This window comes from Homo sapiens, chromosome 17, assembly GCF_000001405.40.
Source record: "Homo sapiens chromosome 17, GRCh38.p14 Primary Assembly".
Lineage (NCBI taxonomy): Eukaryota > Metazoa > Chordata > Mammalia > Primates > Hominidae > Homo > Homo sapiens.
The window spans coordinates 50,182,880-50,207,675 of NC_000017.11; the positions used below are offsets into that span (position 1 = coordinate 50,182,880).

Below are 24,796 nucleotides of genomic sequence, written 5' to 3' on the forward strand. Positions count from 1 at the left end.
CATGAATACTTAATGACATCACGATATTAGTATTGCTGATGGATGGTATCTACAGACTTGTCCATCTCTCTGGAGACCTTAGGGAGGAGTGCGGGCTTTTTGTTCTTTTTGGGTTTAGACCTGAGATGAGGTGAGAGAGGTGACCAGCTGTCGTCTCGCTGTCTCCCTGGCTCCGGGTGCCTGGTTCTCTCTGGACTTCTGACGCCCTGGATTCTCTGTCCCCCGCTGACCACACTCGCTGTCCCCCTTACCTGAGATGGGGGAGCCGAACAGTCACCTTCCCTCCGGGCCTCGCCTTCTCAGGGCCTCTGGGAAGGAGCAGGCAGAAGGTGAAGGGAAAGAGAAGGGACGGAGAAGAGGGGGGAAGAGGAAGCAAGAATTTAAGAAAAAAAAGAAAGAAAGAAAGAAAAAGCTTAAAAAGGAGTAGGCGGGAGGCGGGGGCACGATGGTTCCCCAGACCACCCCAGCCCAGGGGGGTTGTGTTCTGGGGATTCAGGAGGTCGAGGCACCCAGTCCGTGGTGAGCAGGGCCAGGTCTCCTTCCTTCCCAAGAGCACGGTGCGAGTGCCTTCCCCACAGCTCTCCCAGGTGTCTGTCTCCCTCACTCCCCCAGGGCCAGGACAGCGAGCAGGGAGCACGCCTTCCTCCTGGTCCCTCCCAGACCCTCGCCAGGCTCAGCAGACCCCTCTCCTGTTGCGTTGCTCCTTCGGCAGGAGGTCAGCGTGGGTGAGAAGGGAGCAGAGGCCAGATGACCCTTCATGTCAGTTCAAGGAGAGGCCCCCAGGTCCTCCTCACGGGTTCCACTCCCCTCACCCTCCCAGTATCCATGAGCATCCCACCGCCACCAAGTGCAGGGCATCCAGGGGGTGGAGAGTGGATGGGCTTGAAGGGGAGTGGGTATGAGGTTTGGACAACCCCAGATGTGAAGAGTGTGTGTGTGTGTTGTGCACGTGGATTGCCTGTATGGTATTGCAGGGGAGAAGAGGATTTGGAAAAGGTGCAAGGAAATTGCAAGAATAGAAAATGAAAGAGGAAGTAGAAAGGTTTGCGGTATAAGAAGGGTGAGAGAAAGGGGAGTGGGGTTATGGAGGGATCTAGAAGAGAATAGTGGGGAGGGAAAGGGCAGGAATGGAAGGCAAGCCCATCACCCCAAAGCCCCTTCCCCATGTCTACCCCTCCCCCAACTCCAAAGAAGGAAATTAGGAGGCCACTGCGGATTATGTTTGGGTCATTTCCACATGCTTTATTCCAGCAATCAAAATAATTAAAAACATCTCAAATTATTATACACATACAAAATAGGTACAGAGTCTTTTGCTTCCTCCCACCCCTAGGGGGAAAAACTGCTTTGTGCTTTGGGAAGTTGTCTCTGAAACCCGGGGACAGAGGACGCAGGACAGACTAGGAGGGAGCCGGGAGGATGGGCTGCAGCTGTGGAGGAGGGTTTCAGAGGAGAGAGGTCGGAGAGCAGAGGCCTGAGAAGCCAGAGGCAGGTGGAGAGAGGGTGGAAAGTGAGCAGCGGGCTGGGCTGGAGCCGCACACGCTCTCCTCCCATGTTAAATAGCACCTTTAGAAAAATTCACAAGTCCCCATCCACAAAAAAAAAAAAAAAAAAAGAAAAATATCAAGGAATAAAAATAGACTTTGAACAAAAAGGAACATTTGCTGGCCTGGGGGGGCATCTCAATTTCTATAGCACCAGTGATTCCCTCCCCACCCCACCCATCACATAGATGTAGCACCTTTGGTATAAAATGGGGAGCCGCTTCCACCCTGCCCCCATCCCCGCCCCCAGGCAGTTGCCCCGGTGACACATCAAGACAAGAACGAGGTAGTCTTTCAGCAACACAGTTACACAAGGAACAGAACAGTCTCTCCCGCCCAGCCCTGCGGCACAAGGGATTGACACGCGTTCCCCAAATCCGATGTTTCTGCTTTGTCGTGGCCCTTCCTGACTCTCCTCCGAACCCAGTGAGGGGCTGGTGGCTCCCCCGGCATGACCCCCTCAAAAACGAAGGGGAGATGTTGCAAGAGCCATGGGAGCGCCAGATGGCAAGGCTTCTTTGGCAGTCTGAGAACCCCAGGTCCCCCAGGGCCTGGGGGTGCTGGGCGGGCAGGAGCGGGCTGAGGGTGGGGGCCACTTGGGTGTTTGAGCATTGCCTTTGATTGCTGGGCAGACAATACATTGTTTCCTGTGTCTTCTGGGGAGACAGATTTGGGAAGGAGTGGAGGGGAGGCCCCAAGGGGGGTGTGGAGAAAGGAGCAGAAAGGGCAGCATTGGGGTTTCATAAGCCCAACGGGCAGAAAGGGACTTACCCCCGCATGGGTCTTCAAGCAAGTGGACCAAGCTTCCTTTTTTAAAAAGTTATTTATTTATTCTTTTTTTTTTTTTTTTTTTGGTAAGGTTGAATGCACTTTTGGTTTTTGGTCATGTTCGGTTGGTCAAAGATAAAAACTAAGTTTGAGAGATGAATGCAAAGGAAAAAAATATTTTCCAAAGTCCATGTGAAATTGTCTCCCATTTTTTGGCTTTTGAGGGGGTTCAGTTTGGGTTGCTTGTCTGTTTCCGGGTTGGGGGGAAAGTTGGTTGGGTGGGAGGGAGCCAGGTTGGGATGGAGGGAGTTTACAGGAAGCAGACAGGGCCAACGTCGAAGCCGAATTCCTGGTCTGGGGCACCAACGTCCAAGGGGGCCACATCGATGATGGGCAGGCGGGAGGTCTTGGTGGTTTTGTATTCAATCACTGTCTTGCCCCAGGCTCCGGTGTGACTCTGGGGTGGGGCGGAGACAACGGGAGGGGGCATTACCACGTGGGAGTGATGGAGAGAGGGCACTATGGCCTGGCCAAAAAGCCCAAGGCCGGAGAGGTGGGGCCCTGCCTGGGGATTCTGGGCACTCACCGTGCAGCCATCGACAGTGACGCTGTAGGTGAAGCGGCTGTTGCCCTCGGCGCGGATCTCGATCTCGTTGGAGCCCTGGAGGAGCAGGGCCTTCTTGAGGTTGCCAGTCTGCTGGTCCATGTAGGCCACGCTGTTCTTGCAGTGGTAGGTGATGTTCTGGGAGGCCTCGGTGGACATCAGGCGCAGGAAGGTCAGCTGGATGGCCACATCGGCAGGGTCGGAGCCCTGGCCGCCATACTCGAACTGCAGGGGAGGGGAGAGAGGGAAGAGTGAGCCGCTATGCGGGAACCTCTAGTCCTGCCTGGCCTCCCTGTCCAGGGTCCTCAGAGAGCTGCCCAATGCACCGTTATATCGAGAGGAGGCACCACCTGCCCATCGGCAGCCTGTGTCTGAACCACTATCAGGGACCTGAGACCCCTGCCTCCCAGCCCAGCTCTGTCCATCACCCTTAGCAGAGACCTACTCCAGGACTTCATGTCCCTTCTGAGCACTGGGCTAGCCCATCTCCTAACACTGGCTCTGAGGTCCAGCTCACGCACCTGGAATCCATCGGTCATGCTCTCGCCGAACCAGACATGCCTCTTGTCCTTGGGGTTCTTGCTGATGTACCAGTTCTTCTGGGCCACACTGGGCTGAGTGGGGTACACGCAGGTCTCACCAGTCTCCATGTTGCAGAAGACTTTGATGGCATCCAGGTTGCAGCCTTGGTTGGGGTCAATCCAGTACTCTCCTGTGGTAGGGCAGGGCAAGATGGAGTCAGGGAAAGGGAGCAGCCAGCACCATATGGTAGGGGCACATATGGGCATGGGGACCCTGGCATGGCAGGAGTAGGAGGGAGGGAGAGGCTAGGGCAGGCCCTCACCACTCTTCCAGTCAGAGTGGCACATCTTGAGGTCACGGCAGGTGCGGGCGGGGTTCTTGCGGCTGCCCTCTGGGCTCCGGATGTTCTCGATCTGCTGGCTCAGGCTCTTGAGGGTGGTGTCCACCTCGAGGTCACGGTCACGAACCACATTGGCATCATCAGCCCGGTAGTAGCGGCCACCATCGTGAGCCTTCTCTTGAGGTGGCTGGGGCAGGAAGCTGAAGTCGAAACCAGCGCTGGGAGGACCAGGGGGACCAGGAGGTCCAGGAGGGCCGGGGGGACCCTGCACAGAGAGGGAAGAGAGTGGGGATTACCGGCATCCAAGTGCTTTGGGGGCTGGAGGGCCATGAGCAGAGGGGATGAGGGGCTACATACAACAGGACCAGCATCACCAGTGCGACCGCGAGGACCAGGGGGCCCAATGGGGCCAGGGAGACCGTTGAGTCCATCTTTGCCAGGAGCACCAGCAGAGCCAGGGGGACCCTGGAGTGGGGGAAATGGTTTGAGAAAGGCTGCCAGAAGCCCGAACAACCCCAGCTCTGGAGGAGAGGCCCACCACCCTCCCTGCTGGCTCTGGCCCCACGGCTCATAGAGCCAGCCTCAGCCTCTTTCCATAGGACATGCCATAGCTCCTCCCAGCCGCTGAGCCAGGGGAGGACGGATTGGGGAGCAGAGAGGCCAAAGCTAGATCAGATTGTTTGTTCAGGATTCTTCCTCTCTTTGCCCACTCCCTGTCCCTGAACCCTTCTCCAGAGAGGCAAAGGGTGCCTGGGTCCCTGGCAAGGGTCCCCGAGGTGAGCCTGGGCTTGGGGCTCAGGAAGAGGAGAGAGAAGGCATGACTTACTCGGGGACCAGCAGGACCAGAGGCTCCAGAGGGACCTTGTTCACCAGGAGAGCCCTGAAGGACAGATAAAAAAGGCAGTTCAGGCCCAGTGAGCGTCAAATGTAGCCTGAGGGCCTGGCTGGAGAGACAAGGGCAGTGTGGGCAACCCATGCCCCTTCATTATTCTGGAAATCTAGCCCGAGGGTGTCCATAGGCAGAGACCTCTCCCATAATCCCTCTCTGTGTACCCCTCACCCTCTCAGAAGCTACTTGGACATGCCCACAAATCTTCAGACCCCAGTCCCCACTAGGGAGGGGAAAGAATGACTATCCAGAGGGGGAAACTGAGGCGAAGCTCCCCCTCCTATCCCACAGCACAGCATGGGGACTGGGGAGGGGCTGAGCATACTTACAGGAGGGCCAGGGGGACCCTGGAGGCCAGAGAAGCCACGGTGACCCTTTATGCCTCTGTCGCCCTGTTCGCCTGTCTCACCCTTGTCACCACGGGGGCCTTGGGGTCCCTAGAAGAGAGAAAGGGACAAACTGTCAGGCGGAAGTTCCATTGGCATCGAGTGGGGCACTGTCTGCATCTGTAGAGTTCTAAAGGCATGGGGGACACAGCAGGGTACTTACGGCGGGGCCACGGGCGCCAACAGGGCCGACAGGACCGGCGGGACCAGCAGGACCCTGGGGAGAGCAAGGAAAGCATGAGCTCTTGGCCAGGGAAGGCTGAGGCTGGGGCTGCAGGATGAGGCCTCCCCTCTGCTGGATCTCTCTCTCCTCAGCTGCTTCCCACTGTGGCCATCTCTCCCAACTCCCAGGGAAACCTCCCCACTGCAATCTTCACGGGAGCTGGGGCCAACTCATGGGAGAGGCGGTCCTGTCTGGGAGAGGGGACTTGGGGCTGAGCTTTAACTCAGTTTTTTGGATTAAGGCCCTGACATCTTGCAGGATCTCCTTTCCTCCCCCTGCCTGGGTGAAGTCCGACACCCATCCCCAGGCCTCTAAGGAGGCCTGAAGAGTCCCTGGCCTGACCAGGTACAGGGAACTGGAGCCCAGCTACTTACAGTCTCACCACGATCACCACTCTTGCCAGCAGGGCCAACGGGGCCAGGGGCACCAGGAGCACCAGGAGCACCAGGGGGTCCAGCGGGGCCGGTCTCACCACGGTCACCCTGGCGGGGAGAGCAGGGGAATATGGGTCAGCCCCGGGTGAAGGGCCAGGATGGGGCAGGGAAGCAGCAGACAAGGCTGTGGTCATGGAGTGTTGCCATCTTACCTTGGCGCCAGGAGAACCGTCTCGTCCAGGGGAACCTTCGGCACCAGGAGCCCCCTGCAGAGAGAGAGAGAGAGAAGTGAGAGTCAGCCGGGGAAGAGGGCTTAGGCAAGGCCACAATGGCCATGCTGAGGGTACTGGCATGGGGGCTGGGGACTGCTCACCTCACGTCCAGATTCACCAGGGGGTCCAGCCAATCCAGGGGGGCCCATGGGACCAGGGGGACCACGTTCACCACTTGCTCCAGAGGGACCTTGTTTGCCAGGTTCACCCTAAGGGAGAAGAAAGAGTCAGGCCAGAGATAGGGTCTGGGAGGACCCTTGAGTCCGCTGGAGTCATCTCTACCAAATCTGTTCTCCTTGGCTCCGCCCCACTCCAAGTCCTGTGATGGTTTTTCTCAGGGCCCCCCAAGGTGAGGGGGGCACTTACAGAGGGGCCAGGAAGACCAGGGAAGCCTCTCTCTCCTCTCTGACCAGGCAGGCCGACCACACCACGCTGTCCAGCAATACCTTGAGGCCCGGGAGTACCAGGAGCACCCTTTGGGAGGCAAACAGGGGTGAGGTGCCAGAGAGCAGCACAGGGACCCCTCCCCAGCTCTGCACACCTCCGGAGCTGCAGAGATCTGAGCTGGCACTTACAGCAGGACCATCAGCACCAGGGGATCCTTTCTCGCCAGCAGGGCCAGGGGGACCAGGGGGACCAACTTCACCAGGACGTCCAGCAGGGCCAGTCTCACCACGGGGACCTTTGCCGCCTTCTTTGCCAGCAGGACCAGGAGGGCCAGGGGGTCCAGCATTTCCCTGGATGAGGATAGGAGGGGCTGTCAGACTCCAGGGGGCTCTGGTGCATCATTGGGTCCTCAGTCAGCCCCACCATCCTTCTGGCAGCCCCCACCCAGCACCCCCAACCTAGAGCAGTGGACTCTGCTGCAGAGACTTACAGAGGGGCCAGGAGGACCGACTCGGCCAGCAGCACCAGGGAAACCAGTAGCACCCTGGAAGGAGAGAACATAGGAACAGTCAGAGGGAGAACAGCCAACTCATCCGACCCAGCTGCCCTCACCTGCCACCGCTGCCTGGGGAGAGGGGAGAGGCTCAACAGAGAGGCGGGTGATACTCACAGGGGGACCAGCGCTGCCGCGAGCACCTTTGGCTCCAGGAGCACCAACATTACCCTGTAGGAGAGCACAGAGGCATCAAGCCTGGACCCGTCCTGGGTCCCAGCCCACCAGCCTCGTGGGCACAGAGGGCCAAGCCACTCACAATGGGGCCAGGGGGTCCAGCGGGTCCGGCAGGGCCAGGGGGACCAGCATCGCCTTTAGCACCAGCATCACCAGGTTCGCCTTTAGCACCAGGTTGGCCGTCAGCACCCTGGGGGAGGAAGCAGGGCGGTGAATGGAGGGAAGGAGGCAGGAGTTTCCACTACCTGGGGGAGGAGCAGTAATGGAGGCAGGAAGATGCTTGGGTGGGAAACAATCCCGTCTCCACCCTTCTCCCCTGAGGATGGCTGACGCCTTTGTCCTCATTCCGTCCCTCGAGGTCCCAGGTCCCAGTCGGTGATGAAAAATGATGGGGGTCTTGGTACTCACAGGGGGGCCAGCAAAGCCAGCAGGGCCGGGGGGACCAGGCTCACCACGGTCTCCCTAGAAGAAAAGGAGTCAGATTGGAGAGATGCGCTGACAGGAGGGAAGGCGGGGATGCGGTGAGGGGAGAGGCAAGGGGTGAAGGCACAGACAGGGCCAGGGGTGCTGTGTGAAGGGAGGGAAGGGCCAAGTATGGGGTCTTAACAGGTCTTCTGTACTTACGGGGGCACCACGAGCTCCAGTGGGACCAGCAGGGCCGCTGGGACCACTTTCACCCTGAGAGCAAGGGACAAGAGGCTCAGGGTCAGGGCCTCCCCTGAATACTCCTAGTAGATGACCCCAGGAGAGCCTCCCCTCCTTCTGGTCCCTCCAGGTTCCCAGGTTGACAGCTCAGTTTGGCAGGACCTGCTCTCCCAACGCAACCCCACGGAACCGTGCCCAGGCCTGCTGAGGAGGCTATGTGTTAGGGCAGAAGGTGGGGAGGCGGCCACCTCACCTTGTCACCAGGGGCACCAGCAGGGCCAGGAGGACCAATGGGGCCAGTCAGACCACGGACGCCATCTTTGCCAGGAGAGCCATCAGCACCTTTGGGACCAGCATCACCCTAAAGACATGGATAAGCTTGAGATTTCCAGTGTGGGGCAAGGAGGTGACCTATAGTGTTCTGCTTGTGTCTGGGTTTCCTGAGAGGCCCTCTGCAGCTCTGCCCTGCCTCCACCTGGGCCAAGGACTCAAAGATTCTTTCAGGAAAAAGGGTGCCTGCCTGGAGACTCAGGTGGAACTGAGGTTAAGAGGCCCCTGACTTGTGTAGCGGGATGAATAAGGGAGCCTCCACCAAGGAGATGCCCCCACCTCTCATCACCATGGTAACCCATGGGGATAGATGGGCCTGGACCACAGGGAGAGGATTCATCAGCAAAAAGGCCAGAGGGGAAAGGGGAAGAAGGGAGGATTAGCGAGAAGAGGGACAGATCCCAGAGAGAAGGAGAGATGCTGAGAGATTCAAAGCAGGCAGAGATGGGAGCCATGTAGGGCTCAGGGGAGGGGGAAGGTTGAACTTACTCTGTCACCCTTAGGCCCTGGAAGACCAGCTGCACCACGTTCACCAGGCATTCCCTGAAGGCCAGGGGCGCCCTGGCTACCGGGAGCTCCAGGGGCACCAGCATCACCCTATGTGACAACCAAGAAGACTGGAGTGAGGCCTGGGGCCCCAAGAGTGGGTCACAGCCCTAAGCCCCGCTTGGTATCTCCCAGGCTTGTTTCCAAGGCCAACGACAAGCCTTGAGAAAAGATGAAAAGACTCACAGCCCAGACTCCAGGCTGTGTGTGGGCCCCTGCCCTGGTCTTTTCCCCCCACCCCACACCCTATCTCCATGGCTTTGGTCATGGCCCGCCATCCCCTGCTGCAGGAGGGGTGAGACCTGGTCCCTGGGCCACTTGCCAGAGCCCCTTCCACGCTGCCCTCACCTTAGCACCATCGTTGCCGGGAGCACCGTTGGCCCCTCGGGGACCAGCAGGACCAGGGGGACCTTGCACACCACGCTCGCCAGGGAAACCTCTCTCGCCCTAGAAGGGAAGGACAGGGCATGTGAAGGCTGCTCTGGAGATAGGGCCAAGTACGACGCACCTTGACGGATGCAGCGAGAGAGGCCTACTTACTCTTGCTCCAGAGGGGCCAGGGGCGCCAAGGTCTCCAGGAACACCCTGAGGGGGAGGGAGAGAGGAACAGACAGTGAGCAAAACCCACCTGGGGCCACTCTGCTGGAAAGCACGGTCCTTCCTCCTGGGGTCTGGCCGTGATTAGAGAGGAACCCCTTCTCAGCACTGAATTGAGATTATCCCAAACAGCCCCTCTCTTCCTCCTAGGGATGTGTCAAAGGCTTCCCCCCTCCCCAAACTATGGACCAAGATTTATCAATAGAAGGGTTGAGGGAAAGTCACAGCATATTCCAGCAGCTCTTAAAAGAAGTCACCCAGACTAGCAATCATGCAGCCCCCACTTCCCTCTGTGCTGCTCCCTTCATGGGAGGAAGTTCTTTCCGGCGTCTAACCTCAATCCCTCTAGTTGATGGCTGTCTGATTAGCTAGGAGCGGGGGCCTGTCCCTCTGGATTCCCTGCATCTCCCACCCCTCTGGCCGGCTGCTCCCTCTTACCTGTTCACCAGGTTTGCCTGCTTCACCTGGAGGACCAGCAGGACCAGGGAGACCCTGTAGGTGGGAAATGGGGGAAGAAGGGAGGGAAGGTTTAGAATCTGGAAGAGACCAAAGAGGTGTTTCCTACCCCTACCTCCCAGCATCCTGACAGCCATGAGGCCTCACCTGGAATCCGGGGGAGCCAGCAGGGCCTTGTTCACCTCTCTCGCCAGCGGGACCCTGCACAGAGAGAACACTACAGTCACGGGGAGGCCGAGGAGACGAGGGGCTGAGGGTGTCTCCCCTTTTCTGCTCCCCAGATCTCCCCATCAGGGACACTCACAGCAGGGCCAGGGGGTCCCTGAGCTCCAGCCTCTCCATCTTTGCCAGCAGGACCCTGCAGGGAGAGAGCAAAGGGGAACTCAGGGTTAGGAGGCCCCGAGCAGCTGAGGACCGTGGCCTCTAGCACCCCTCCTGCAGGGAGGAGAAAGTGCCGGGGCAGCAATGGGAAGGAGGTAGGGATGGAAAGGAGATACTTACGACAGCGCCAGGGGGTCCGGGAACACCTCGCTCTCCAGCCTTGCCGGGCTCTCCCTGTGGAGAAAGGGAGTTAGGGTTGAGGGGGCTGAAGTGAGAAGCCAGGGCCTCCTGGGGCCTCTCATTTACTCTGAGTGGGACTTTTTAAGGGACTTTCTTTTCAAAAGACTGTTTGGCCCCCGGGGAATGCCCCTGCAGGTGCTTCTTGCTGGGCCCTTTCTGAGCCCACTCCTCCCAAGATGCCCTTCCAGGCTCCTCTGCCTTTTCCCTGTTAGATGCCCGCTGTGGCCTGCACTGCAAAGGGCTTTCATCTTCTCTGCTATCTCCTTTTGGACCTCAAAGAATCCACCAAGACTGGGGGTGCCTATCATATCAAAGGCCTGTCCTATCCCCACGTGTCGGGGTGGAGGGCCACCAACAACACTTATTTCCAGGACAGAGCAGTGGTCATGGAGCCTGGAGAAGTGTTTCATTTTTTCTTTCTTTCTTTCTTCTTTTTTTTTTTTTTTGAGATGGAATCTCGCACTGTTGCCCAGGCTGGAGTGCAATGGCGTGATCTCAGCTCACTGCAACCTCCACCTCCCGGGTTCATGCAATTCTCCTGCCTCAGCCTCCTGACTAGCTGGGGTTACAGGTGCACACCACCACACCCAGCTAATCTTTTGTATTTTTAGTAGAGACGTGGTTTCACTATGTTGGCCCGACTGGTCTCAAACTCCTGACCTCATGGTCTGCCCGCCTTGGCCTCCCAAAGTGCTGGGATTACAGGCATGAGCCACCGTGCCCCGCCGAGAAGTCTTTCATTTTACAGATAGGGAGGCTGAGGTCCAGAAAGTGAGAGTGAGTGGCCACACGGCAGGTCAGCGGCACAGCTGAGCCCAGAGCCCAGGACTCCTTCAAGTCTCAGGTGTGTTTGTCCCTGGCTCTTCATGGATCCTCACTTAATACTCACAGCAGCACCTTTAGGTCCAGGGAATCCCATCACACCAGCCTGACCACGGGCACCAGGTGGGCCTGGGGGTCCGGGGCGACCATCTTGACCGGCGGGACCCTAAGGATGGGAGGCACGAAAGCAGCAGTGAGGACAGCAGGGAGGCAGACAGGACAATGGCAGGGGGTTCAGGGGGAGTGATACTTACAGGGGGGCCAGTTTTGCCATCAGGACCAGGGCTGCCAGGGCTTCCAGTCAGACCCTAGGGAGGCAGAGAGGTATGAGTGGGACTTGGGGAGAAGCATGATGGAGGTGGGGGAGGACTCCAGAGGGCAGACCCTTGGGCCTGATCCAGAACGCCTCATCCCAGACCCTACACGGGATGGTCAGGGCCTGGCCAAGCCAGGCTGAAAGCCTGGGGCCTCACCTTGGCACCAGGCAGACCAGCTTCACCGGGACGACCAGCTTCACCAGGAGATCCTTTGGGGCCAGCAGGGCCAGGAGAACCACGTTCACCAGCGGGACCCTGGTTGGGGGAAGTCACAGGAACAGTTAGGGTCTCAAGTTTGTGGCTCTTTGCCACGGGCCAAAAGAGGAAGAAGATGCCCAGGGAGCGGCAGGGTCAGCCCCCCGGCCGCAAGGAGAGGTTACCTTGGGACCAGCAACACCATCTGCGCCAGGGAAACCACGGCTACCAGGTCCACCCTGCAGGAGGAGAGGAGGCCAGTGAACTCCGCGACACACAGGCACCAGCCAGGCAATGAGGGTGGAGCGGGAGGGGGCGGGCAGGGACACTTACACGCTCGCCAGGGGGTCCGGGCAGGCCAGTGGGTCCGGGTTCACCTCGAGCTCCTCGCTTTCCTTCCTCTCCAGCAGGGCCAGGGGGTCCTTGAACACCAACAGGGCCCTGGAGAGGGCCGAGAGGAGGAGGCGGCCTGTGGTGAGGGGCCATCCTGTGCCAGCCTCAGAGCCGGCTGAGGCTGGGCCTCCAGTGTCAGGGGTTCCTGGGGGTGTGGCAGGGACTCCCCCAGAAGACTAGGGGCTCCTCTTCCTTTCTGGATTTCCCTCAGGGGGCTCCTAGGGCAGGGTGGGCTGGGCTGCAAGAAGGATGGCGGGGAGACTTACAGGCTCTCCCTTAGCACCAGTGTCTCCTTTGCTGCCAGGAGCACCAGGTTCACCCTGCAAGGGGGGAGAAGAGGATGAGCTGAGAGTCGGGGGCGCTCAGTTGGCCTGCGTCTTCCTGCTCCCCAGATGAGAGCCGCACTGGAGCCAGTGCATGGGGTGGGCAGAAGGGAGAGTTTGGTACTCACGCTGTTACCCTTGGGACCAGGAGGGCCGCCGGGGCCCTGGGGTCCAGAGGGGCCTCGGGCACCAGGGAAGCCAGGAGCACCAGCAATACCAGGAGCACCCTGTGGGAGGCAGACAGCCAGGGCGTGAGCCTAGGAGCAGAGGGAAAGGGGCAGGCAGGCTGCAGGCGGCAGGAGTGGGACTGAAGCCTGGCAGGATACTTACATTGGCACCTTTAGCACCAGGCTGTCCATCAGCACCAGGGTTTCCCTGTGGCACAGAGAAAGGAGTGTCAGCAACAGGCAAGGACTCTGAGGTTAGAAAGTGGCAAAGGGGACACTGAGTCGGGGACACTTACAGCAGGGCCAGCAGCACCAGCAGGGCCAGGGGGGCCAGGCTCACCACGCACACCCTGGGGACCTTCAGAGCCTCGGGGCCCTTGGGGACCAGCTTCACCCTGAATCAGAAGAAAGGACATATCAGAAGCCACCCTGGGAAACCCAACCTTGCCTCTCGGGATGGCAGGAGGAAGGGGAGACAGGGACAGGAGAGCAATGATCAGGACTCTAAGATCAGAGACGGAGAACCCAGGACAAAGGTGTTAGTGAACGGGCTGCTCTCTTGCCACTCTGGGTCCCTTTGGTTTGGGGAACAGGGAGACATGAACCCCTTGGCCCATGAGGGTCATGCTTAGAGGAGAGTGGGGGGTCTCACCTTAGCACCAACAGCACCAGGGAAGCCAGGAGGACCAGCGGGGCCGGTGGGACCCTGTGAATGAAATGGAGATGTCAGCGAGAAGGAAGAGATGGCAGCTGCAAGTCACACCCTGGGACAGAGGAAGTCCTGGGGTTCAGACCAACATAACCTGCTCCCATTGTCAGCCCCAAGAGCAGATACTGAGACCCCTCCCCACTCCCAGGCCCTGAGGCCTACAGGCCACACTCACAGGGGGCCCGGCAGCACCAGTAGCACCATCATTTCCACGAGCACCCTGCAGGAGAGAGGGGAAGCCCCGTTAAGTCCACTGAGCACTGGCCAGTCCCTAGAGTTCCTGGGGAGCCCCTTCCAGAGCTCAGGGATCCCCCAAGGGGCCAGGAGTACTTACAGCAGGGCCAGGGGCTCCAGGGCGACCTCTCTCACCAGGCAGGCCACGGGGGCCCTGACAACCAAACCAAGAGAAGTCAGATGAGATGGGAGACAGCCTTGTTCCCCCAGGCCTCCATCTTGCCCCTGCCTCCTGCCCCATCCCTGCCCTCTGGAACTGGGCACACTCACCATCTGACCAGGAGCTCCATTTTCACCAGGGCTGCCAGGCTCACCCTGTAGATCAGAGAATAATGAGTGAGAAATTCATTCATGGTGGGACTCTGGGGATGTGGAGGACCATGATGTTCAGACAGCCTCTTACCTTAGGACCAGCAGGACCAGCATCTCCCTTGGCACCATCCAAACCACTGAAACCCTAAAGCAGGAAAGAGGTAGAAGGTAAGAACCTGTGGAGGGGGTGGAACAGCCTTGACATCCACCTAGATCTGAGAAAGAGCCTTGGGAGGTCATCACCGCCATCCCTTTGTTTCTGAGCTAGACTAAACCCCAACTGGCTCTAGATCTCACCCAATCGTTTAATCGGGACTGCTTTCCCATGGAGGGAGGTGCTTTTGGATGTCCACTCTCTGTCCCTTGGGACTTCTGTAGCTGCCACCCACCATGATGCAACTCAGTATCTTTTGGGGAAGAGGTTGGGACTGGATGGGGGTATGCTAGGGACTTGGGGAGCTTAAATGACTCAAAGGTGACTCACTCTGTGTCCCTTCATTCCAGGGAGGCCAGCTGTTCCGGGCAATCCTCGAGCACCCTGGAGAGAGATGAAGAAGACAAGGAAGGGCCATTAGAACACATCACTGTGGACCCAGCTCCTAAATGAAGCCCAAGTGCAGTGAAGCCCAGGTTCAGCCACAGCCCCCTGCTCACCTGAGGCCCAGGAGGCCCACGCTCACCAGGACGACCAGGTTTTCCAGCTTCCCCCTGAGAGGGAGAGAAAAGACCATCATGCCTCTGCCTCCCCACCACCGCCTAGGGGCTGGAAAAGTGGAGAAGGTCTCAGTCTTCTTTGGATTGTTGCAGGTCAGGTTTGGGGGCCCAGAATCTTATCTTTGAATCTAGAGCTCAGTTTAAATCTACAGTGAAACCTTCGTTTGGTGAAATCTGAGTGCCTCTAAAGGAATTTCTGTCTACTTCTGTCACCAGCATTTTAATTTCACCATCTGCGCACCAATTTCCCCAAAGGGATGGGGTTGGGGATTGCTCTAAGGTGGCTGGGGTGAGGAGAACAGTCACTTTGTTGGGGACATGGAATCATCTCACTAAGCGAAAAGATCATTGTTCCAGGGCAGTCCGTGCATCAGAGAGGACTTGCCCTCCTTCCTCTGAGTATCGTTCCCAAATGTGGTGGAGTGGAAATTGCAGGACCCAACCCATGGAGGCCATGGGGTCAGATGGTATCTTCTTGCTGGGGATACTTACATCATCTCCATTCTTTCCAGGGGGACCTGGGGGACCTCGGGGACCCATGGGACCCTAGAAAAGATAGAAGAGGTGGTTAGAATATGGATAAGAAAAAAAGAAGGGGAAGGCTGGGATTGAAGGGAAGAGGTAAGGAAGACCCCAGGCCTGGGAGTTCTTCTATAGGAGAGTCTGTGTGTTTGTAGAAGGAGTATGAATCTGTATAGAGAGTGCTTACTGAAGCTCCAGGCTCGCCAGGCTCACCAGGGGGACCTTGGAAGCCTTGGGGACCCTTGAGAAGAAGGAAAAAGATGGGTTAGAAGACAAGTCCCTGTCAACCTTCTCCAATCTTACCAAGAGATCTCTGAGCATCTCTCCTGCCCTCATCCCAGTCTTCCCTCCAAAAGACCAAAGCCCAAGGAGGCATATGAAGACGTCCTGGATACTCACAGGTGCACCAGGGGGGCCAGGGAGACCACGAGGACCAGAGGGACCCTATAGAGGGAGAAGAAAGGGGGGTCATGGTGATCCCTCTGTAGGAAAGCATGTGGATGTAGTCATTCATGCCTGTTGGGACCACCCAGTCGTCCTGCATCCTTTCTGGACTCTGAGGTCCCAAAGGTGATCTGGACCTCCCAAGCTGTCTATACCAGCCGCCTATGCCCACCTCCTCTGGATACCCATTCTCTCTTCTGTCATCCATGCTCCCCCTGCTGGCTCACCATGGGGCCAGGCACGGAAATTCCTCCGGTTGATTTCTCATCATAGCCATAAGACAGCTGGGGAGCAAAGTTCTAGAACAAACAAGAGAAGTCAGAGTGAGGACAGTGAATTGAAAGGCAGAAGACGGCACTGAGGATGGAAGAAACTGACATCATGCACTTCCTGGTGTGATGTGCTGAGAAGAATAACATTGCTTTTAAGACATTCCTGCAAAGATGCATCCCTGCATCTAATCTAATGAGACAATCCCAAATTGAGGGACAGTCTGCAAAACAACTGGACTCATCAAAACTCCCAGTGCCACTAAAGACAAAGAAAGTCTGAGGAACGTTCTACATTTGTGGAAACTAGAGACATGATGATTAAACGCAATACATAATCCTGGACTGGATCCCAGATTGGGGTGGTGGGGGGTGGAATCTATAAAGGACATTATCGGGACATCGGTGAACTTTGAATACGGACTGCACATTAGAGAGTGAATTTAATCATTGTGTAGGTCAGTTAAGAGAATGCTCTTGTTTTTAGGAAAAACACACCTAAGTATTTAGGCGCAAAAGAGCCTGATGTTAGCAACTTGCTCAAACAGTTCAGAAAAAAAAAGATACATATACATAAACAGAGACTAATAAAGCACATGTCACAAACTGTGAAGGGTATGTGAGAGTTTCCTGTAGGATTCTTGCAACTTTTCTGTAAGTTTGAAATTATTTCAAAGTATAAAATTATGTCATCTGCCAAAAAACAAAAACAAAACAGGGGAGAGTGGACACACAAGGCCTCTCCACTTACTCCTCCGAGGCCAGGGGGTCCGGGAGGTCCGGGGGGTCCGGGGGGTCCGGGAAGTCCAGGCTGTCCAGGGATGCCATCTCGGCCAGGGGGGCCTGCGGGTCCCTGCAGGGGGAGAGGGCGGGGCCGGGGTGAGCGTGGGGCCGAGAGCCATGCCCACCTGCAGCCCCCCACAGCCCAGAGTGCAACGCTTACCCTTGGGCCTCGGGGGCCAGTGTCTCCCTTGGGTCCCTGTGGGATTGGGGGAGAAGAAACAAGAGGCCAGGTTAGAGAAGGGAGGACTGTGAGGAGTCACGGGCCGCGCAGGGGCAAAATTCGAGGGCAGGAGATTACCTCGACGCCGGTGGTTTCTTGGTCGGTGGGTGACTCTAGGGGACGAAGAGACGCGCGTTAGAGCCAAGGTTTGCTAATGCTGCTCCCGTCGGCAGAGGCCTCCAGCACGGAGGGCCAGCGAGCGCCGACCACCCCCAGCCCCAGCCCCAGGCCCCAGGCCCCAGGCCCCAGGCCCCAGGCCCCGAGCGCAGCCGCACCTGAGCCGTCGGGGCAGACGGGACAGCACTCGCCCTCGGGGACTTCGGCGCCGGGGCAGTTCTTGGTCTCGTCACAGATCACGTCATCGCACAACACCTTGCCGTTGTCGCAGACGCAGATCCGGCAGGGCTCGGGTTTCCACACGTCTCGGTCATGGTACCTGAGGCCGTTCTGTACGCAGGTGATTGGTGGGACTGGGACAGGCGGAAGAGGGGCGTTGTCAGTAGTGACTGCAACCCCCAGCTTAACCACCTTTCCCCCGGGTCTAAGAGGCACACTTGGATTTTTCACTTCCCGCCCCTCCCCCCGTTCTTCTTTCCTCAAATCCTTAAAAGCTCGCCTGCTCCTCATCAGCGCGGGTGACAGCGCCGAGGCGCCTGGCCAGGGAGGCTGTAACTCTTTCCAGTTCTCAGGAATTTAAACAAAGCTTTAGTCCGCGGTGGCTTCCAACTCCAACCTCAGCCCATTGGCGCTGAAGCCAAGTGAAATAAAAACCACAGGGTGAGAGGGGGAGGGCGGGGGGAGAATAGGAGGGGCCCCATCGGGAGGGCAGGCTCGTGGGGAGTGGCTTGCGTGGTAGAGACAGGAGGAGGGCGAGGGAGGAGAGAAGGGAGGTCCAGCCCTCATCCCGCCCCCATTCCCTGGGCAGGTGGGGTGGCGGGGGCGGGGCTAGGAGAATGGGAGCGGCTGATTGGAAGGGAGGCCCCCCCAAGACTTGAAATGTACCTCAAAATTAGGAGACACCCTAACCTCCAGCACCTAGACATCTTAAAAGCCCGCTCTCGGGGCCATCCCCAGTCCCCCAAAGCCAGCCAATGCCTCCAGGTCACTTTTAGCCAAAGAACCAAAAAGTCCGCAAATAGTCCAGAAGTTAGCTAACCACTCCCACCGCGCTAGCGGCTCCCCAGACGGCCACTAGGTGTCGGGCAACGCTAAGCAATGGGGCCGGGGCGGGGCCGACCTCACCGGCCCGACTACCTCTTTAAGAGGCTTGGGCTGCCCCATCCCTGGCTTTACTTTCCAGATCTAGAGGTGGGGGTCCGCACCCAGCAATAACCCGGGTCTTCCCGCTCCGGCTCCTGCCCCAGTAAGCGTTGGACCGGGAGACGCAGTGCTCAGCATCGGTCAGCAGGGGGCGCAAGGACCCCGCCCCGCCGAGTCCGCGCCAAAGTTTCTCATCCTCCACCCGCCCACGCTCCGCACCCCCTCCGCGGCTGCCCAGCACCCCCACGGCCCCAGCAACACTCTAGCCCGCAGAGAGGGCAATCTTTCCTTATGAATCATCCCACGGCCTTCCTGATTGCTTCTACATCTTGGGCTTCAAATGCCCCGCTCGGCGCCCCCATCCCATCTTCGACGTGCTTTCCTCACTCTGCACCCAGATCCCCACTTCCCCGGTTGCGCGCTCGGGATTCTCTCTTGCACCAACTCACGCCGCGCTCCACCCTCACCTCCCGCTCCCGGGGCGCGTTCAACCCCAACCTCGCCCCAGGGTGAGCTCCCTCCTGTCTCAGGGCGCCGAGGAAGAGCCCTCATCATCTCCCTTCCATTCCCGAGTCTCCGGATCATCCACGTCTCGTTTTAAGCCGCGGCCCCCGGGACCAAGCGCAAGGCGCGATATAGAGTATCCTTGCACTCCCAAAAGTTTGGGACTTACTGTCTTCGTCTTGGCCCTCGACTTGGCCTTCCTCTTGGCCGTGCGTCAGGAGGGCGGTGGCCGCTAAGAGGAGCAGGAGCCGGAGGTCCACAAAGCTGAACATGTCTAGACCCTAGACATGTAGACTCTTTGTGGCTGGGGAGGGGGTTAGCGTCCGCTCATGCGTGGCCTCACACTCCGCGTGCCTCCTGCTCCGACCCCGAGGAGAAACTCCCGTCTGCTCCGACGACTGGCCCGGGCCCCTTTTATACTGTCCTGATGGAGAGCAGGGAGGAACCCTGCCCCTCGGAGAGGGGGAGCCGGCCGCCCGTGCCCCAGCCAATCAGAGCTGCCTGGCCCGGCCCCCAATTTGGGAGTTGGAATGGAGAGGGGGAGGAGGAGGGAAGGGAGTCCACCCCACATCTCCCCTCTTCGCAGCTCTGCCTCCCCAGCCCCCCAGCCCAGCCTGGGCCAGAGGTGCTGTGGTAGGGGTGCAGCTGGGTCCTCAGAATGGCGTGGGCTAACCAGTGGGTAGGGGTGCCCCTCTGCTCTCTTCCTGGGACCTCCAATCTAGAAGAAGTGGAACTGGGGAACTGGGGAGCTGGGTGGGGAGACTTCCAAAGGTGGAAGGGTTGGGGGTGTTGGGGAGGGGGTCCTCCTGGCTGTGCCCCAGTCACCCTCTGATATCCTGGCAAGAGCTAAGGGAGGGGCATAAAGAGGCATGCTGAGGACCTCTCCAAAACAGAGGAAGCTGGGAATTAAAAAGATGTGCCTGTTTGGGGGTGTCTTCTGGTGTGGCTAGGGGATGGAGCTTAGGAATATTTGGGGAACAATTTACAGATTCCTTTCTAGACATTAAGAATCAGATATCTGAGGGAGGGGTGCAGGCAAGGGAGTTTTAATTTTGAGGATGTCAATTCTTCTGCTGTGCTCCAGAACAGAATCAAATGCCTTCCTCCAAACCCTAGGCATGATTGAGAGATGGAGTGGGGAGGCTGAGGTGCAGGGTGAGAAACATGACTAGGTGGCCTCTGCAGAAGAAAGCTTTGGTGGTTGGGTGATGGAGCAGCCAAGGTAGGGGTGGGGGATTCTAGGGACACAGAGGTGGGGATTGGGGCTTGCAATCCCCTAAAAATTCATCCCCCAAACTCTTCCACCCCAGAGTTGGGAAGTATTTTTAGTGGGAGGCCTGTGATCATTGGTGACTTAGAGAAGAGTTTTGTTTGCCATGGCTGTGGCCAGGGGCTGCTTAGAGACCCTCCTTCCCAGCACAGTCAAACCAGAGAGAACCTGGGTGGAGGGAGGGCACTTAGCTAAAGGGGTGTCTTTCTGGGAGCTGCATAAAGCCCCTTCTCCAGTTGTACCTGGACTCAGTGTTGGGGATGTATGGGATATTTTGGGTGTCTGGGTGAAACTTTCCTTTGGGGGTGTGGGATGGGCTGCAGAGGATGATTGACTTTGTTTTAGGGGCTACTTCCCACTGCCTCATCTCTTTCTTGAAAATCCCGGTCATTGCTCTATGCCTTAGGAACCAGAGAGAATCATCTGTACACTCTGAAAGGGTCTGGGGACCCGAAGGACAGCAGGCTATATCTAAGGAAGATGGCTCTAGAACTCCACGTCCTTTCTTCCTCCATGTCCCATTCCCCCAACAAGGCTCTGCCTCAACCCCAATCTACCTCGTCCTGAGAAACTCTGTAGGGCTGAGAGAAGGCCTGGGGGTCTCCTTGCAGTGCCCTGTTCATTTCTCTCCCTCCTGTGCAGCTCCCCACCCCGGGTGCTCCAGAGCTGCAAACGTGGAAGCGGGGAGTCCCGCCTCCCCCAAACCATCCAAGATTCCATTGCCTCCCCCCGCCCCTCTCCACGCCCTCCCCCAGCTGGTTTTGTGCAACGAAGGCAAAGGGGAAAAAAAAGGAACAGAAGGGGAGGGAGCCACGTCGGCTGGCCGGCTGGCCGTGGGCAGCCAGGATGAGCGGTGCGGGTGGGGCAGCAGAGGGAGACTGCAGGGGCTATAATTAAAGGGAAAATATAGAGTTTCCAGAGAGGCAGGGCTGGAGACAGCAATGGAGGGATGGACCTTCATCAATTATCCCGACCATGTGGCAGCAACTTGTGGCCCAGGGTCTGCCCCCGCCTAGTGCCAGCGACTGCAGGGCAGGACTAGGGGGCTGAGGTGCTGAGATGGCAGTTCTTGAACCCACCAAAGTCCTGCCCCCTACTGTGGGTCAGTTCCAAGAGAACCCCTCCCTAATAGGCGACAGGGGTCCTGTTTTTGGAGGGAACAGACATTTAGAGTGGTGGTCTAGGGCAGGGTGCCGCAGGGCTTGGTAGTATGAGGGTTAGTGACCTGTCCACTTCCTTGCTTCTTGGGTTTTCGTAGTAAGAAGGGCTCCTGCCTGCAGCTCCCCGCCCCTCCCCATATGTTTCCCATCCAGGCTTTCCCACGCCCATCTTAAAGAAGAGTTGAAACCTCCAAGGTGTGAATTGGGGGTTGCTACATCATGGGCCTGGGGTTCTGAAGGATATTTGGGGATCCCTGGCTTTGGAGTTTTGTGTGCCTGGCGTGTGACAGCCACCACCCCAATGTCCAGTTCCAGGCCTTCCTCCCAGGGGCCGAGGCAGACAGTTTCCAAGCATCCTTTACACGTGGCATGGAGCTGAGGCTCAAGGCCTCCCCTGCCACTCTTCGACTTAAAACGCTTGGCGGGTGCCCAGGCTGAAGATGTGTCTTTAATTTCTGCAGTATGACAGTGAGAGGAAGAATGTGCTTGGGGTCTCCTCCCAGCCTGGCTGGGCCTTCCTGGCCAGGATTGAGGGCTGCAGACTGGGGGGATGGGGGGTGGGAGGAGGAGGGAGCTTGTGCCTGTGAGAGGAGGAGACGCCACCTCATCTTTAGGAAACTCTGAAGCTCTGGCTTCTTGTGGAATGTAAGACTTTGTCCGGCACTTAAAGTGGGGGGGAGCAAAAGCCAAAATCTCCTCCCCACACCCCCAAGAAATGGTAAAGTCATCAGCAGTTAGGGAAAAAAAATTCCTTAAGAAGAAAAACAGAAAGAGGAAAGTGCTGAGCTTGAGTTCTCTCCTTCTCCAAATTTCCCCAAGTGCCCCCCTCCAACACCAAAGAAGGAGGGAAAAGGCCCCCACCCTCAGAGCTCCTCAGGTGCCCCATCTGGACTCCATGGTATGGGACAAAGGAGGAGAACACACCTGGAAGAGGTAGCCCAGGTGTTGTGCACCTGGTGGGGGGCATGCACCCCTGCCCTGCACATCGGGGTCACCCTTTCCAGCTGCTGCAGCCCCCAGTTGAGGTTCTGTTGCTCTTCCCCCAACTCCAATTCTCCAGAACGCTTCTCTGCTCCCACCTCTAGCCCTAGACTGATGATAAAGAGGGGGTTCCTAGGAGAGGGTCTGAGGAGACAGAAGGGCGGGGTCTAAGAGTGGGGGTGCAGTGAAGACCCCAGGATGAAGCTCTCCATGAGTCTCTATCATGGAGCCCTGCACAGTTCCTGTTGAGGGAGCCTGGAGCAGAGTCTGGGGATAGACCCCGGGTGTGTGCAGGCCCTTCTTCTTCCCTCGCTTTAGCATTGCACAGTCGGAGCCCTTTGCTAGGTTCCTCAGCTTCCAGGTACAGCTCTGCTCTTCTATGCCTTAGCCCCAAACCCAAGTCCTCCAGCCTCCTAGGATTTCCCTCTCTCCCTTCCTCCCTCCTTCCTTCCTTTCCAGGGTTAGGGGGAAGATGATGAAGTAGGTTTTGTCCATGCTGAGTGTTTGAAGCCTGTGAGACATCCAATTAGAAATACGGAGGAAACCCTTGGGCACTTGGGTCAGGAGTTCAGAGGAGAGACAAATGTGGGTCCCAGGATGATGGTAACTGAAGCTGGGGTTGTGGATGGTGTTGTCTCAGAGAAAGCATGGAGGGAGGGAGTGTGGAGGGGCTGGCACTGAGCCTCGGGGACCCTCAGGGTGTAAGGGCTGGGTGGAGGAGGAGGAGATAGGGCAAGAGTGGCCAGAGAAGGAGGGCTGGGTGAGAGGGATTGGGGGGTCATGAGTGCAGAGGAAAGAGATGGTACTAGAAGGAAGGAGAGTTATATGCTGCAGAGAGAACTAGTATGGTAAGGAGTAAAATGTTCCCTGGACTTAGCAGAATGGTGGTGACTGATCCCCGCAGCGTGAGCTGCTGTGGTGGAGAGATGGACAAGGAAGCCGGACTGGAGTGGGCTAAGGAGTGTGTGGGAGGCCAGGAAGCAAGGTCAGAGGGCAGCGACTGGGAGGAGGAGTCTGGCTGTGGCAGGAGTCTAGAGAGGCATCTGTCCCCTGCTCTTTCTCTTTCTTCCCAGCCCGGATCCTGCGTTCCTTTCAGGCCCCTGCATCCCTCCTCTGTCTTCCAAGTTTCTTCGCTGCTTTCTCCATCCCCCTCTGTCTCCAGAGCTCCTTTTCTGGATCTCATTTGCCTCTTTTGCTCTCCTTCCCCCTTTCCTTTTCTTTCCAGGTGACCCGAGCCCTCAAATGTCCATAGCCAGGCCCAGCCTCCCCCTCATTCTCCCCTAGAACAAGCCCTCATTCCAGGCTCTTGAAGATGAACTTTGTTTTCTAGTCCTGGACGGATCCCACCCCATTCTCTGACCGCTGCCTCCACCACCCCCACCCCAGTCCTAGGAGGAGAACTTGGGAGCTGGAGAGAGAAGGGCTGGGGGTATGGCCCCAGGTGACACGAGGTCTGTCATGGCCCCAGCTCCCAAGCCCTCTCCAGCCACCCCACCAGGTCCCAGCCAGGCCCCAGCTGAGAATAATGCACTGGATGGGGGATGTTGTTGAGTTAGGGGACCCCAGTTCTCACTGCTGCTCTCTGGTAGTCAGAAGTGAGGGGTCAGCCCCATCTTTCCTGCTGGAGTGAGCTCCCAGCTGGGTAGCTGGCAGCTTTTCTGTCATATCCCTCCCTGCTCCTGATGTCTGGAGGCAGTGTAGTTCTTCTTAAAAGTTGGCTTGGCAGGGCGCGGTGGCTCACACCTGTAATCCCAACATTTTGGGAGGCTGAGGCAGTCGGATCACCTGAGGTCGAGAGTTTGAGACCCCAGCCTAGCCAACATGGTGAAACTCCATCTCTACTAAAAATACAAAAATTAGCCCGGCATGGCGGCATGGGCCTGTAGTACCAGCTACTTGGGAGGCTGAGGCAGGAGAATCACTTGAACCCAGGAGGCGGGGGTTGCAGTGAACCGAGATCACACCATTGCACTCCAGCCTGGGCAAAAAAGCGAAACTCTCTCTCTCAAAAAAAAAAAAAGAAAGAAAGAAAGAAAGAGAAAAGAAAAAAAAAAGAGAAAGTTGGCCCCATGAATTGATTGAATATTTACACCTTTCTGGGTTGGTTCAATTCCGTGCCTATTTTATCCCATTTGCTTTTCTCCATTCCTTTCTTCCTTTCTTTCTTCTATTCATTTACCTTTTCTCTCCCCCACCCCCAACCTCTCTCCCTTCAAATTTTTCTCTTCATGCGTTTTTCTTCCTTTTCTTAGTTTTTTTTTTCCTTTCCTTTTCTTTCCTCGGTCTCTGACCCGTTGTCCCACCTCTCCACCCACATACTTTTTTCCCCCTCCCTCTTTTCCTCTCTTATTCTCTTCCGGTATCTCCTCTTCCCCAGTCCCCGGTTCTCTGGTGCCCATCCTGGGGTATGGCGCTCTGCCGGGTCTCCTCATGCTGTAGGCGGGCGTGCAGCCTTCGTGAGCTGCTCCAGGGGAGAAAGGGCAGCAGCCATAGGGGGCGTGGCCGGGGGGCGGGTGGTGCAGGGCTCGCATCACAGCCAGATGTCTGGTTGCCGTGTTGTGTTTGGGAGATAAATGCCAGGGTTCCTTTGAATCCTGAATTTAAATAAAAGAAGGGGGGTGCTGAGGAGAAGCCTCTGTTGGGCAGAGGTACCTTCCAGATCTTGATCTCCTTCCTTGATACCCACCCCCCACAACCCCCACCCCAGGGAAGTTTTGGCCACCGATGTCTTCTGTCTTCTGCTTCTGCCCCAGCCACGAGTTCTTCCTCCTGGCAAACTTGAGATTCTGGAGTTTCAGGGCGGGGTGTTGGGCAGGGGTCCTGGCAGGGGCCCCTTTGGACAGTCTGGCTCGGACACAGAAAGGATCCTGTATGGATAACATGACCTTGCCTTCTTCCCAAAAGCCACCCCCACCCCATTTTGCTAAGGAGCTACATTCATTTGCTGATAAATTCATGCAACAATAGTCACGTGCCAGGCACTTTGCTGGGTACTGGGCATTCAATGGTGAGCAGCACAGACC

The 24,796-nt window shown here is 57.5% G+C and overlaps 1 protein-coding gene across 4 annotated transcripts, besides 8 other annotated features; it reads right to left on the reverse strand.

Moving 5' to 3' along the window:
• COL1A1 (collagen type I alpha 1 chain) lies at positions 1,222-18,752 on the reverse strand. 4 transcript variants are annotated; one of them, NM_000088.4, is made up of 51 exons: positions 18,532-18,752; positions 16,874-17,068; positions 16,677-16,711; positions 16,539-16,574; positions 16,347-16,448; positions 15,554-15,625; positions 15,282-15,326; positions 15,070-15,123; positions 14,853-14,906; positions 14,301-14,354; positions 14,131-14,184; positions 13,738-13,791; positions 13,605-13,649; positions 13,435-13,488; positions 13,276-13,320; positions 13,044-13,097; positions 12,688-12,786; positions 12,555-12,599; positions 12,353-12,451; positions 12,168-12,221; positions 11,842-11,949; positions 11,694-11,747; positions 11,470-11,568; positions 11,251-11,304; positions 11,064-11,162; positions 10,115-10,168; positions 9,918-9,971; positions 9,761-9,814; positions 9,596-9,649; positions 9,101-9,145; positions 8,909-9,007; positions 8,504-8,611; positions 7,938-8,045; positions 7,664-7,717; positions 7,448-7,501; positions 7,122-7,229; positions 6,980-7,033; positions 6,800-6,853; positions 6,498-6,659; positions 6,289-6,396; positions 6,024-6,131; positions 5,863-5,916; positions 5,651-5,758; positions 5,217-5,270; positions 4,997-5,104; positions 4,605-4,658; positions 4,136-4,243; positions 3,761-4,043; positions 3,438-3,628; positions 2,899-3,141; positions 1,222-2,769 (listed from the first exon to the last, which is right to left on the reverse strand). In NM_000088.4, exons 1-51 carry the CDS (start codon positions 18,632-18,634, stop codon positions 2,623-2,625), a joined length of 4,395 nt encoding a protein of 1,464 aa, NP_000079.2. In that variant the 5' UTR covers positions 18,635-18,752; the 3' UTR covers positions 1,222-2,622. The 4 variants fall into 4 exon arrangements, with proteins under 4 accessions (NP_000079.2, XP_005257115.2, XP_011522643.1 ...); XM_005257058.5 differs by lacking the exons at positions 6,289-6,396; positions 6,498-6,659; XM_011524341.2 differs by lacking the exons at positions 12,688-12,786; positions 13,044-13,097; positions 13,276-13,320.
• Positions 1,514-2,504: an enhancer, noted in NCBI's record as "H3K4me1 hESC enhancer chr17:48261754-48262744 (GRCh37/hg19 assembly coordinates)". NCBI's record gives its function as "activates a minimal SCP1, AML or CMV promoter by ChIP-STARR-seq in naive H9 embryonic stem cells {active_cell/tissue: H9 hESC(naive)}" and the evidence as "EXISTENCE:reporter gene assay evidence [ECO:0000049][PMID:30033119]".
• Positions 5,827-6,382: an enhancer, noted in NCBI's record as "H3K4me1 hESC enhancer chr17:48266067-48266622 (GRCh37/hg19 assembly coordinates)". NCBI's record gives its function as "activates a minimal SCP1, AML or CMV promoter by ChIP-STARR-seq in primed H9 embryonic stem cells {active_cell/tissue: H9 hESC(primed)}" and the evidence as "EXISTENCE:reporter gene assay evidence [ECO:0000049][PMID:30033119]".
• Positions 6,383-6,936: an enhancer, noted in NCBI's record as "H3K4me1 hESC enhancer chr17:48266623-48267176 (GRCh37/hg19 assembly coordinates)". NCBI's record gives its function as "activates a minimal SCP1, AML or CMV promoter by ChIP-STARR-seq in primed H9 embryonic stem cells {active_cell/tissue: H9 hESC(primed)}" and the evidence as "EXISTENCE:reporter gene assay evidence [ECO:0000049][PMID:30033119]".
• Positions 13,462-14,661: an enhancer, noted in NCBI's record as "CDK7 strongly-dependent group 2 enhancer chr17:48273702-48274901 (GRCh37/hg19 assembly coordinates)". NCBI's record gives its function as "activates an origin of replication core promoter dependent on BRD2, BRD4, P300/CBP, MED14 and CDK7 cofactors, with strong dependence on CDK7, by STARR-seq in HCT116 cells {active_cell/tissue: HCT116}" and the evidence as "EXISTENCE:reporter gene assay evidence [ECO:0000049][PMID:35650434]".
• Positions 17,347-17,396: a silencer, noted in NCBI's record as "silent region_8689". NCBI's record gives its function as "represses an Ori minimal core promoter by ATAC-STARR-seq in GM12878 lymphoblastoid cells {active_cell/tissue: GM12878}" and the evidence as "EXISTENCE:reporter gene assay evidence [ECO:0000049][PMID:35858748]".
• Positions 17,417-17,466: a silencer, noted in NCBI's record as "silent region_8690". NCBI's record gives its function as "represses an Ori minimal core promoter by ATAC-STARR-seq in GM12878 lymphoblastoid cells {active_cell/tissue: GM12878}" and the evidence as "EXISTENCE:reporter gene assay evidence [ECO:0000049][PMID:35858748]".
• Positions 17,967-18,016: a silencer, noted in NCBI's record as "silent region_8691". NCBI's record gives its function as "represses an Ori minimal core promoter by ATAC-STARR-seq in GM12878 lymphoblastoid cells {active_cell/tissue: GM12878}" and the evidence as "EXISTENCE:reporter gene assay evidence [ECO:0000049][PMID:35858748]".
• Positions 22,845-23,346: an enhancer, noted in NCBI's record as "H3K4me1 hESC enhancer chr17:48283085-48283586 (GRCh37/hg19 assembly coordinates)". NCBI's record gives its function as "activates a minimal SCP1, AML or CMV promoter by ChIP-STARR-seq in naive H9 embryonic stem cells {active_cell/tissue: H9 hESC(naive)}" and the evidence as "EXISTENCE:reporter gene assay evidence [ECO:0000049][PMID:30033119]".

Bases quoted from the DNA above. Each gene is read 5' to 3' on its own strand.
- COL1A1 (NM_000088.4), bottom strand. From the start codon at position 18,634: ATGTTCAGCTTTGTGGACCTCCGGCTCCTGCTCCTCTTAGCGGCCACC. The intron at 9,650-9,760 runs GTGAGGCCTCAT...TCCCACCTACAG, and splicing joins CTGGCTCCCCCGGATTCCAG to GGTCTCCCTGGTCCTGCTGG. The intron at 7,718-7,937 runs GTGAGGTGGCCG...CCTTGCTCTCAG, and splicing joins CTGGTGCCCCTGGTGACAAG to GGTGAAAGTGGTCCCAGCGG.